The sequence below is a fragment of the Homo sapiens genome, chromosome 10 (genome assembly GCF_000001405.40).
Source record: "Homo sapiens chromosome 10, GRCh38.p14 Primary Assembly".
Classification (NCBI taxonomy): Eukaryota; Metazoa; Chordata; class Mammalia; order Primates; family Hominidae; genus Homo; species Homo sapiens.
In genome coordinates, this window is record NC_000010.11 from 100042090 (window position 1) to 100055237 (window position 13148).

Sequence of the window (13148 nt, forward strand, 5' to 3'; positions counted from 1 at the left end):
TTTTTTGTATTTTTAGTAGAGACAGGGTTTCACCATGTTGGCCAGGCTGGTTCCGAACTCTTGAACTTAGGTGATCCACCTGCCTCGGCCTCCCAAAGTGCTAGGATTACAGATGTGAGCCACCACACCCGGCCACCACATCACCTTTCAATAGATCCTAATTTTTTTCATGATGACCTAGAGATGGCTTACCCCTGGAACAGATGGAGACCATTCTGAATTGTTCTGAATATGTTTGTATTTAAATATGTCCCAGATAATAAAATAGAAAGAATGCTTGATCTGATCTGAGAGCAGGAGCAAAGCCTTTCTGAAGGGTTGCCTGGCACTGTGGGTTTCAGGCAGGGCCTCTCTGCAGCTGCCTCATCTCCATTTCTTTCTTTCTGGCTTGGGGCTGCACTTTGGCTCTGACTCCGTGCCTTCTGCTGGGAGCTCTCCTCACAGGGCTTACTTGAGGGATGCTTCTTTTGAGGTGGAAGTTAACCTGGAAGAAAAAAAGCAGGAGCTACGAGATCCGTTTGGACCATCTTTTGCCATAGTTCCAGTTTCTGAGGGCTGGGTACTAGGGAAAATTATTATAGCAGTGACCCAGAGAAGCACTGGTGGTGTCATATAGACTTGGCTAACGTTCCCCCAAAATTGGTATGCAATCATTGGTGATAGATAGAGTGTGACTGGATGAACTTAATATACATTGATTTTACATGTATTAGAAAAAGATGGGCTGGGTGTGGTGGCTCATGGCTGTAATCCCAGCACTTGGGAGGCTGAGGTGGTGGATCACCTGAGGTCAGGAGTTCAAGACCACACCGGGCAATATGGTGAAACCCTGTCTCTACTAAAAATACAAAGAAATTAGCCAGGTGTGGTGGTGCACACCTATAGTCCCAGCTACTCAGGAGGCTGAGGCGGTAGAATTGCTTGAACCCAGGAGGTGGAGGCTGCAGTGAGCTGAGATCTTGCCACTGCACTCCAGCCTGGGTGACAGCGAGACTCCATCTCAAAAAAAAAAAAAAAAAAGAAAAAAATTAGGTTGGGCATGGTGGCTGTAATCCTTGCACTTTAGGAGGCTGAGGCGGGCAGATCACTTGAGATCAGGAGTTAGAGACCAGCCTGGCCAACATGGTGAAACCCCGTCTCTACTGAAAATACAAAAATTAGCTGGGCTGGTGGCACATGCCTATAGTTCCAGCTACTCGGGAGGCTGAGGCAGGAGAACTGCTTGAACTCAGCAGGCAGAGGTTACAGAGAGCCAAGATCACGCCACTGCACTCCAGCCTGGGTGACAGAGTGAGATTCCATCTCAAAAAGAAAAAAAAAAGTAAAGAAAAGAAAGAAAAATATATCTACACATCAAATATGATTTCACCAATACTGCCACTTAGGACAAGAGCCATGATTGACGGTGCTGTAACAATCTTCTTTATGCTGCCTGGGTGACTCACAGGTGCCATGCTCAGGCATGCCAGTAAGTGTCACCATGCTTCAGAACTAAACCTTCTGCCTACTTGTTTGACTTCAAAGATAGTAGAGATGATAAAGAGTGTTGGTATGGACTTGGGGATTTATTTTACTTTTCTTTTTTTTTTTAATTTTAGAGATGGGGTCTTGTTATGTTGTCCAGGCTGGACTCAAACTCCTGGGTTCAAGATCCCCCTGCCTCAGCCTCTCAGCCTCCTGAGTAGCTGGGATTACAGGCACATGCCACCACATCCTGCTTGGATTCTTAAACTGGAAATTTCCATGTGTGTTAATGCATCCTTTCAAGCACTACATTGCAACCTCTCTTCTGGCCACAGCACGCAGATGGAAAGATACTTTTCACTGACAAATGTGGGACATTCTGGGTGTGGAAGAGCCGTAGAACTATCCCAGGCTGAAGAGGAAGGAGAGGGAGTGGCACAGTGTCCTAACCACACTCCTCTGGGGCAGGCCTGGGCTTTCCCACCCTTGGAACAGCTTGAGCCCCTGAAGCCAGCTGGGAGTTAAAAAACATGTCACTGACTAAGAGGCCTCTCTGTAGGGTTATTTCCTGCCCCTTCCGCAAAAATTGATAGCCAGTTTTTCTGCTAGTTCCTCCAGGAGGGAAGGGGAGAATCAGAGCCAACTGTGCTGTATTATTTACCAATTCCTATTTAGTAACATAGGAATCTAGACAGAAAAAAATGAGAGAGAAGAGAGACAAGAAAATGAGGCAAGGACAGAGGAAAAGGAAAGGAGTGGTGACATGTGGAAGGCCTTGGGGAAAAGCAAAGAAAACACTGGGCCCCGGAAGATATTTTATTTCATTTTATTTTTATTTTGAGATAAGGTCTTACTCTGTCATCCAGGCTGGAGTGCAGTGGTGCAATCACGGTTCACTGCAGGCTCCATCTCCTGGGTTCAAGTGATCCTCCCACCTCAGCCTCCCAAGTAGCTGGCACTACATGTGCATGACACCATGCCCGGCTAATTTTTGAACTGTTTTGTAGAGATATGATTTCGCCATGTTGCCCAGGCTGGTCTCAAACCCCTGGGCTCAAGTGATCTGCCAGCCTCAGCCTTCCAAAGTGCTGAGATTACAGGTATGAGTCACCGCACCCAGCTGAGACATTTTAAAGCTGGAAACTCTGTAGTAAACAATCTTTTTTTTTTTTTTTGAGATGGAGTCTTGCTCTGTCACCCAGGCTGGAGTGCAGCGGCACAATCTCGGCTCACTGCAACCTCCGCCCCCTGGGTTCAAGCAATTCTCTTGCCTCAGCCTCCCAAGGAGCTGGGATTACAGGCATGAGCTACCACACTTGGCTAATTTTTGTATTTTGAGTAGAGACAGGGCTTCGCCATGTTGGCCAGGCTGGTCTCGAATTCCTGACCTCAAGTGATCCGCCTGCCTCAGCCTCCTGAAGTGCTGGGATTACAGGTGTGAACCACCACACCTGGGCAATATTTTTTTCCTTTTTTCTTTCCCAGACAGATGGATATCTGCTTTAGACTGGGAAGGGAGATAGACTCCTTTGTGATCAATAAATGGGTTTTTAGTTGTTACTGTGTCTGGAAATTGTATCCAAATGACAGACATCTTTTCTCCTCTGAGTATATTTGACATAATGATGGGTTATGTTAATTTATTTAAAGAATATGTGAAAAGGGGGGCAAAATCCTTTGAAATTGAGTGTGTTACTCAAGAGGACGTGCAGTTGTTTGAATTTGGCGTTGAACAGACTTGCTGGTAATGCAAAACTTATATATGTAGCTGCTTAACAGTCATTCAATTTTAGGATATAACAAGAAAAAAGGGAAAGAGGACCCCAGATCAGCTCATAGGCTGCAATGAAAGATTTACTCTCTGTTTCCTGCAACTGTAAGCAGAAGTAATTTACATTATTTAGGAGATGGGACTAGGGGAGGGGATGGAGGAAGAAACTATCTGGAAATTCTCAAAGGACTTAAAGCATAGTTCTTTCTCCTGATCCTTGTGTTACAATAAGGAGCTACAAACACAGGTTGTACACTTAGTATGAGTTCTGTAACACATTGGCTAAGAAGGGAGCCAGAGAGCCTGATATAGGTTCGAATCCTGACTCCCACCACTTGCTATGTGATATTACACAAGTTTCTTTTATCTTCTCTAAGCCACAAATGGGGATACTTGCATCTACCTCACAGGGTTGTTGTGAAGGTTAAATGAGATAATGCTGGAAAGCTCTCATATCATGTCATACATAGTACTTATTCAATAAATAGTAAAAGACAAGCTTGACTGGACTGCATTGTGTTAATAGGGAAAGGTGGTGGGAGGGTCTACTAAGGGTTGTGTACAGGAGTGAGGCGGCCCTAGGAAAGGCTGACTTTTAGGAAATGAGATCTGTAGATGTCTGTTAAATAGGACTGCCTCATTATTTTGTCCTCATTTGAGAAATCTGAGGATTAGTGTCTACGATCTCTGAGCTCTGTTAGCTCTGAGATCTTAATACAACCAAAACTGAAAAGATCCAGGCTGTAAAATCAAAGAAGTTCTTTGCTTCTCATCCTATCTATAAAAGAAAGCCCTGGAGAGTTTAATCTTGAAGAGTAGCTGGCTTTTTGCGGCATGAGTGGAAAGCAAGATCAGGGCCCAGGGAGCACCAGAAGGGATGGTAGAGCGCCCTCTGGTGGCAGTCCTTGCCAGTGGCACAGAAGAATGCAAGCCCGCTGCCTTCTCTGTAAAAACTGGTCTTAAAGAAACCATCAGATTTAGGCCGATCACAGTCTAGGCGGAGGGAGCACAGTGGCTCACGCCTGTAATCCCAGTGCTTTGGAAGGCCAAGGTGTGAGGATCTCTTGAACTCAGGAGTTCAAGGCTGCAGTGAGCCATGACTGTACCACTGCCCTCCAGCCTGGGCTACACAGAGAACCCGTCTCTACAAAAAATAACAAAAATTAGGCCAGGTGCAGTGGCTCACGCCTGTAATCTCAGCACTTTGGGAGGCCGAGGAGGGTGGATCACCTGAGGTCAGGAGTCCAAGACCAGCCTGGCCAACATGGTGAAAACCCGTCTCTACTAAAAATGCAAAAATTAGCTGGGCGTGGTGGCACATGCCTGTAGTCCCAGCTACTTGGGAGGTTGAGGCAGGAGAATCACTTGAACCCGGGAGGCGGAGGTTGCAGTGAGCCGAGAATGTGCCATTCACTCCAGCCAGGGCAACAGAGCAAGACTCTAGTCTCAAAAAATAAAAATAAAAATGGCCGGGTGCGGTGGCTCACGTCTGTAATCCTAGCACTTTGGGAGGCCGAGGTGGGCAGATCACCTGAGGTCAGGAGTTCAAGATCAGCCTGGCCAACATGGCAAACCCCTGTCTCTACTAAAAATACAAAAAATAGCTGAAGATGGTGGCACATGCCTGTAATCCCAGCTACTTGGGAGGCTGAGGCAGGAGAATTGCTTGAACCCAAAAGACAGTGGTTGGAGTGAGCCGAGATTGAGCCACTGCACTCCAGCCTGGGTGGCAGAGCGAGACTCTGTCGAAAAAAAAAAAAAATTAGCTGGACATGGCGGCATGTGCCTGTAGTCCCAGCTACTTGGAAAGATGAAGCAGAAGATCTCTTGAGTCTGAGGCTGCAGTGAGCCATAATCACGCCAGTGCACAGCCTGAGGGACAGAGACACTCCCTGTCTCTATGAAAGAAGAAGAGGAGGAAGAGGAGGAGGACAAGGAAGAGGAGGAGATATCTGACCTATCTTGTTTGACTGTAGGTCAAGGAGAAGGAGGAGGAGAAGAAAGAGAGGAGGAGGAGGACATATCTGACCTCCCTTGTTTGACTGTAGGTCATAAGACCCTACCTTGTTTGACTATAGGTCATGAGTCCCTCTTTCCAGAGAGGGTACTGACCCACACACAGAAGGAAGAAATTCATGGTCAGAGAGCCCAGAAGAATCTGGAAAGATAGGCCTTGCTAGATTTCTTCACTCAGTGCATAGCATTAGCTGATACTTTTTTTGTCCAGTTGCATTTATTACCTAGCTGTACCTACTTTGTTGAACCTACACATAAAAGTGGACAATTTCCCCGGTATCTTTGGGCCTTCATTCTGAAGGCTCCTGTGTATACACGTTAAATAAATTGGTATGCTCACACAAAACAAAAAAAGAAAAAACAGGCCGGGCATGGTGGCTCATGCCTGTAATCCCAGCACTTTGGGAGGCCGAGGTGGGCAGATCACCTGAGGTCAGAAGTTCGAGACCAGCCTGACCAACATGGAAAAACCCCATTTCTACTAAAAAAAACCCACCAAAAATTAGCCAGGTATGGTGGCACATGCCTGTAATCCCAGCTACTCAAGAGGCTGAGGCAGGAGAATCACTTAAACCTGGGAGGCGGGTGTTGCGGTGAGCCGAGATCATGCCATTGCACTCCAGCCTGGGCAACAAGAGCGAAACCCCCTCTCAAAATAACAATAATAATTATAATAATAAAATAAAATAAAAATAAATTGGTATGGCTTTTCTCCAATTAATCTGCCTTTTGAGAGTTGATTTGGCCCCTGCATACTAAAGGCTTTATGTGCATGTTCTCATTTCAGCCTCTGGTGAAGGAGGCACTATTATTACCAATTTACTGAGAATAAGAGAGATTAGGTAATTTGTCCAAGGTCTGTGGGCAAATGAGCTGAATTTAGAACTAGACAGTGCTTTAAATCACTATGCTATGTTAGACAGAAGAGGAAAAGCCAAAAGGAAGTGAGGAAGGATATAACAGGAGAGTGACAGAACAAAAATTAGGATGTGCGAGCAATTAATTCTTTAAAAAACAGTAAAAGAAAGAAGCTGGGCAAAGATTAGAGCTGTGCAATCACTTAAGATTTTGCAAGGGCCAAGGGTGGTGGCTCATGCCTGTAATCTCAGCACTTTGGGAGGCTGAGGCAGGCAGATCACTTGAGCCCAGGAGTTCAAGACCAGCCTGGGTAACATGACGAAATCCTTTTTCTAAAAAAAGAAAAATTAGGCGGGCATGGTGGTGTGTGCTTATACTCACTCCCAGCTACTCGGGAGGCTTAGGCGGCAGGATTGCTTCGGCCCAGGAGATCGAGGCTGCAGTGAGCCACAGTGGTGCCACTGCACTCCAGCCTGGGTGACAGAGCAGGACACTGTCCTCCAAAAAAAGACTGTATAAGTGATCTCTACAGTGCACCGTCAAGCTCAGCCTAACTCACCAACGTTGGTTCCGCAGGACCCACGGTCACAGTTACTGTCTCTGGGTCATACCCAGGTGCTGTGGCACTAACAGTGTAGATACCTGGAAGCAGCAGCCGGAAGTAATCACCATGGTCACCTGAAAGTCACAAAGATATAACTCAGTCTACTGATTAAAAATCTGTCCCAAATAAGCTAGGGTTTTTATCTGACTACAAGGTTGGCTTTTCTTTTTTTTTGAGACGGGGTCTTGCTCTGTCACCCAGGCTGGAGTGAAGTGGTGTGATCTCAGCTCACTGCAACCTCTGCCTCTCAGGTTCAAGCAATTCTCCTGCCTCAGTCTCCCAAGTAGCTGGGATTACAGGTGCGTGCCACCATGCTCAGCTAATTTTTGTATTTTTAGTAGAGACGGGGTTTCATCATGTTGGCCAGGCTAATATCGAACCCCTGACCTCAGGTGATCTGCCCGCCTCAGCCTCCCAGTGCTGGGATTACAGGCGTGAGCCGCTGAGCCCGTTGGCTTTTTTTTTTTTTTGAGATGGAGTCTCACTCTGTCACTCTGTTGCCCAGGCTGGAATGCAGTGGTATGATCTCAGCTCACTGCAACCCCTACCTCCTGGGTTCAAGCAATTCTCCTGCCTCAGCCTCCCAAGTAGCTGGGATTAGAGGCGTGCACCACCACACCCAGCTAATTTTTATATTTTTAGTAGAGACGGGGTTTCACCATGTTGGCCAGGCTGGTCTCAAACTCCTGGCCTCAGGTGATTTGCCAGCCTTGGCCTCCCAAAGTGCTGGGATTACAGGCATGAGCCACCGAGCCCGGCCGTCTTTTCTTTTTCAAAATAAATAAACAGAGTCCGGTTCTCACTATGTTGCCCAGGCTGGTCTCAAACTCCTGGGCTCAAGTGATCCTTCCGCCTCAGCCTCCCAAAGTGCTGCGATTACAGGCATGAGCCACTGCCCCCAGCCTGGCTTTTCTTAATAGCATGAAACTAGTAAAGATTTAAATCATTTGTGGACTATCTTAATAGGAGTACGGCCTCAGCTCCTACGAAGCAGGAATTTTACTGTGCTCTACACTGAACATGTTAAATGTAATTCTAGACCCTGTAGTTTAATACAAACTCCCCTCCAGTAAAGGATCACTAGGAGAGAGGAAAGGTTGAAAGGTCTGTGAATGTTTTGCCTAATAAAGAAACTACATGAGACCACAGTTTTGATATTTGAAAGGCCACTGTGAAGAAATGATGTCTATCTAAAGAAATAAGAATGAGAAGTATGGGTTTAAGTTGCAGGGAGGCAGATTTTGCTAGACAGAAATAAAACCTACTGAGGCCAGGTGCGGTGGCTCATGCCTGTAATCCCAGCACTTTGGGAGGCCCAGGTGGGTGGATCACCTGAGGTCAGGAGTTTGAGACCAGCCTGGCCAACATGGTGAAACCCCCATCTCTACTAAAAATACGAAAATTAGCCAGGCGTGGTGGCACATGCTTGTAGTCTCAGCTACTTGGGAGGCTGAGGCAGGGTAATTGCTGGACCGTGAGAGGTGGAGGCTGCAGTGAGCCGAGATCGCGCCACTGCACTCCAGCCTTGGTGACAGAGCAAGATTCTGTCTCAAATAGAACAAACAAACAAACAAACAAACAAATCTGTTGAGAGAAACAGAGCTACAAAAAAAGGAATGGACTGCTTTATGCAATTGTGAGCACTCAAGCACAGACTAGATCAGAAGCCTGGAAAGGCCACGCAGATGTACAGTGCAAAACCTGTACCACTGAACATGGAGGCCCTGGGTTGGACAAAAAGCTGCCGGTGGTGTTATATGGGTGTAATCTTATATTCAATGGGAAGGCTGGACTACATGACCAGTAAAGATACGATTTTGAGAGTCCTATCTCTTTTTTTGAGATAGGGTCTCATTCTGTTGCCCAGGCTAGAGTGCAGTGGTGCTATCATAGCTCACTGCAACCTTGAACTCCCAGACTCAAGCAATTTTCCTGCCTCAGCCTTTTGAATAGCTGGGACTATAGACACACACCACTGTGACTGGTAAATTTTATTATTTTTATTTTTTGTAGAGATGGAGGTCTTGCTATGTTGACCAGCATGGTCTTGAACTCTTGACCTCAAGCAATTCTCCCAGCTCAGCCTCCCAAAGTGCTGGGATTACAGGCATATGCCATTGTGCCCAGTGAGAATCTTATTTTTAATATTTCTTCTATTGGGCTGGTTGCAGTGGCTCATACCACTGCACTCCAGCCTGGGCGACAGAGCGAGACTCTGCCTCAAAAAACAAAAAAATTTCTTTTATCATCTTCAAAAGTATGGCAAGGGAAAAATAAAATTCAAAAGAAGCCTGTTTTTCTATAACAAGGAAAGTGCATTTTGGCTAATGACTTTCCATCCCTTTAGACTCAATTATGACAGTGATTTTAAAATTCATTTTAAGTATATAGCAATGAATATTTGAAATAATAAATACAATAAACATTGAGACAAACAATAATGAAGAAGTCTTTTTCTGCCCCCTATTAAATGTCTGTAATTTACTTTAAAATACTTCAGCAAAGTACATGTGTTGGATAGTTGAAATGACACCCCAGGGGTTGTCATTTTCTTAACTGGGGACTTGAATCCTGAAGTGGTTAGCGAGTGTTGTATCAGAAAGGCCCCATTCCAGATGCAGCTACTATGAGGGCTTCAGCTAGCTTTCTCTCTCATCAACACTAGATGCTTTGCTAAGTAATATAATGAATGTTTACAATGGGTTTTTTCCCTGATGAAATGAAAAAAAATTTTTTTTTTTTTGAGATGGAGTCTTGCTCTGTCGCCCAGGCTGGAGTACAGTGGCTCAATCCTGGCTCACTGCAACCTCCACCTCCTGGGTTCAAGCGATTCTCCTGCCTCAGCCTCCTGAGTATCTGGGACTACAGGTGCCTGCCACCATGCCTGGCTAATTTTTTGTATTTTTAGTAGAGACGGGGTTTTACCACGTAGGCCAGGCTGGTCTTGAACTCCTGACCTTAGGTGATCCACCCGCCTTGGCCTCCCAAAGCGCTGGGATTACAGGCATGAGCTACTGTGCCCAGCCTAATAATTTGTTAATTAACACAATGGCTGGTGAAAGTGGCACTTATTGGAAAAATTAGTGGGGTTTAATATGTTTTGTTTTTATTGTTGTTTTGAAACAGAGTCTCACTCTGCCCAGGCTGGAGTGCAGTGACGTGATTTCGGCTCACTGCAACCTCCACCTCCCGGGTTCAAATGATTCTCATGCCTCTGTGCCTCAGCTTCCCGAGTAGCTGGGACTACAGACCACACCACCACACCCAGCTAATTTTTTTTTTTTTTGAGACAGAGTCTCACTCTGTCACCCAGGCTGGAGTGCAGTGGCATGATCTTGCCTAACTGCAACCTCCACCTCCTGGGTTCAAGCGATTCTCCTGCCTCAGCCTCCTGAGTAGCTGGGATCACAGGCACACGCCACTATACCTGGCTAATTTTTTGTATTTTAGTAGAGATGGGGTTTCACCATGTTGCCTAGGCTGGTTGCGAATTCCTGAGCTCAGGCAATCCCCCCACCTCGGCCTCCCAAAGTGCTGGGATTACAGGTGTGAGCCACCGCTCCTGGCCACACCCAGCTAATTTTTGTAGTTTTAGTAGAGACAGGGGTTTCACCATGTTGGCCAGGCCGGTCTTGAGCTCCTGACCTCAAGTGTTCCTCTCACCTGAGCCTCCCAAACTGTTGAGATTACAAGCATGAGCCACTGTGCCCAGCAATATATGTTGATTGGCTGGAATGTTTTACAGACATTCCCACACTTGCTTGGATAGAGCATAAAATCTAGCAAAAGCCAGGTGTGCATTCCTGGAATCCCAGCACTTTGGGAGGCTGAGGCAGGCAGATGACTTGAGCTCAGGAGTTCGAGACCAGCCTGGACAACAGGGCAAAACTCTGTCTCTGTAAAAAAATAAAAATAAAAAATAAAAAAATTAGCTGAGCATGGTGGTATGCACTTGTAGTTCCAGCTACTTGGGAGGCTGAGGAGGGAGGCTCACCTGAGCCTGGAAGGTCAAGGCTGCAGTGAGCCCTGACTGCACCACTGCACTGCAGCCCAGGCAATAGAGTGAGACCCTGTAATCCAGCTATTTGGGAGGCTGAGGCAGAAGAATTGCTTGAGTTTGAGACCAGCTTGGGCAACATAGTGAGACCCCATCACCTTGCTAGAAAGAATCTAGCAAGCCCTGAAGAAGGCTGTGCTCATAAGGATGATTCCTACGACTCAGAAACATTTCTGTAAAAAAAGGAAAAAGAAGAAACAAATAAAAAGGATGGTTCCTGAGTTTGGATTCCTAAACAGTCCTGTGTCCAGACATTTGGCTAATAGGCTCTGGTTGTCTGATACTTCACTGTGAGGCTACAGGATTCTGCCTTTAGACATTACCTTTGCCTTGAATGAACCTTTCATGTAAGATGCACTGAGATCACTTTAAAGGACAGAAAGCTGAGAGTTCATCCAGCTTAAACAGATTGTAGGAATTGTGAAATGGCTGCTTGGTAATAAATGTTAGTGTAGTAAAATTCAGGTGAGACTTGCTAGTATTAAGGTTGTGTGGAGGGCTGGGTGTGGTGGCTCACACCTGTAACCCTAGTACTTTGGGAGGCTTTTGAGCCAAGGAGCTTGAAACCAGCCTGGGCAACATGGTGAAACCCCATCTCTACAAAAAACACAAAAAATTAGTCAGATGTGGTGTTGCATGCTTGTAGTCCTAGCTACATTGGAGGCTGAGTTAGGAGGATGGCTTGAGCTCAGGAGGCAGAGGTTGCAGTGAGATCACACCATTGCCCTCCAGCCTGGATGGTGGAATGAGACTCCTTTTCAAAAAAAAAAAGAAAAAGAAAAAAAGGTGGGGATTTAGGCAAATCTCACCTACCTGTAACCATAACCATTTGTAGCCACTGTTATGCATTAAAAGCAAAATAAAACAAAAAAAAAATCCTACAAGTTGTGCATGATCAAGCTGGGCTGAGTCAGCTTACAACACCATTCTGCTGTGAGATAATTCTGTACCCTTCTAGGAGGTTCCAGGTAGCTCTAAGATCCGCCTCCACCATCAATCTTGCCCCCACAGTAAGCCTATGATGGAAAGAATCTTGCTAACTTTCCCAATGGAGGTGTAGGGAAATGCCAAGTCAGCGACAAGGCTAACTATCTGTTTCACAGTCCTCTTTCTACCCGATTTCACACCAGTATGTGAGCTATTAACAGGCTTAAGCCCAGAAAATACCCCTAACAAAATTGTATGCGGTAGCAACTCCTGAATGCTGATGAGAAGTTACATTTACATCAGTCTTTCCTGGTCCTGACCTCTCAGGGATTGCTTGCATCAGAAGCAAAAGATTTTCCATTAAAACATCTTGGTTGTTTGATTCAGCCTCTTAATTTACTGTCTCCATTTTCATTGCCCTTCTTTCCTCCATCCCCCCCACTCCCAGCATCCTTGACACCCCTGCTGGTTTCACTAGCTTACAAACTGGCCCCTTGATTATGCTGAAGAAGATGCAGGAGTTAACGCTTCCTTCTTACCCCTAAGCAGTGACCACCTACCTGAAGTGACATCATGGTTAATCCCACTGACAGAAATGACAGCATTGGCGAGATTATTGTAATTCTCATCAAGCACCATTCCCTTGATGCCCTGGTGAACCTGCAGGAACAAGTATATAGTTATGATCATAAAACATTTGTACCATTTGTACAGTGTTTTAGAGTCTCAAAGCCCTTTCTCTTATGTTTTTGTATTTTATCTTCACAAAGATGATGGTAATAGTCCCTTAACTGGTCTCTTTGCCTCTCTCCCTGCCCCAATTAATCTCTTCGCAATTAGAGTGGTCAGAGCGTTCCTGTTAAAGCCTGACTCAAATCATGTCACTATCCTACTCAAAACCTAACTCACTTTGAGCAAAAGCTAAAGTTCTTGTGATGGTCTGTCTGTAAAGCTACCTGTTAGCTCTCTGATCCCATCTCCAACCACCTTTTCTCTCCCTTACTTCTGAGATCAGTCCAGCCACACTGGTGTCCTGGTTTTCTTTTCTTTCTTTCTTTTTTTTTTTTTTTTTTTAATTTTTTTTATTTGCTGTGACAGACTATAGTAAAATACACATAAAATAAAATTTACCATTTTAAGTGTACAGTTCAGTGTTATTAAATACATTTAGCTAGGTGCAGTGGCTCATGCCTGTAATTCCAGCACTTTGGGAGGCCGAGGTGGGCGGATCACCTGAGGTCAGGAGTTTGAGACCAGCCTGGCCAACATGGTGAAACCCCGTCTCTATTAAAAATACAAAAATTAGCCAGGTGTGGTGGTGGGCGCCTGTAATCCTAGCTACTCAGGAGGCCGAGACAGGAGAATCGCTTAAACTGAGGAGGCGGAGGTTGCAGTGGGCTTAGATCACGCCACTGCACTCCAGCCTGGGCAACAGAGTGAGACTCCATCTA

At 45.7% G+C, this 13148-nt stretch overlaps 1 protein-coding gene across 1 annotated transcript in view, besides 1 other annotated feature; it reads right to left on the bottom strand.

The window, feature by feature from the left end:
- Window positions 104-13148, bottom strand: part of CPN1 (carboxypeptidase N subunit 1) — a 39677-nt gene continuing 26632 nt past the window's right edge. The window contains exons 7-9 of the mRNA NM_001308.3: window positions 12258-12357; window positions 6669-6787; window positions 104-484 (exon numbers count right to left, since the gene is read on the bottom strand). Coding sequence (NP_001299.1) covers window positions 338-484; window positions 6669-6787; window positions 12258-12357 — 366 coding nt within the window. The 3' untranslated portion in view covers window positions 104-337. The remainder of the gene's footprint in view (window positions 485-6668; window positions 6788-12257; window positions 12358-13148) is intronic.
- Window positions 2267-3093: an enhancer, noted in NCBI's record as "H3K27ac hESC enhancer chr10:101804113-101804939 (GRCh37/hg19 assembly coordinates)". NCBI's record gives its function as "activates a minimal SCP1, AML or CMV promoter by ChIP-STARR-seq in naive H9 embryonic stem cells {active_cell/tissue: H9 hESC(naive)}" and the evidence as "EXISTENCE:reporter gene assay evidence [ECO:0000049][PMID:30033119]".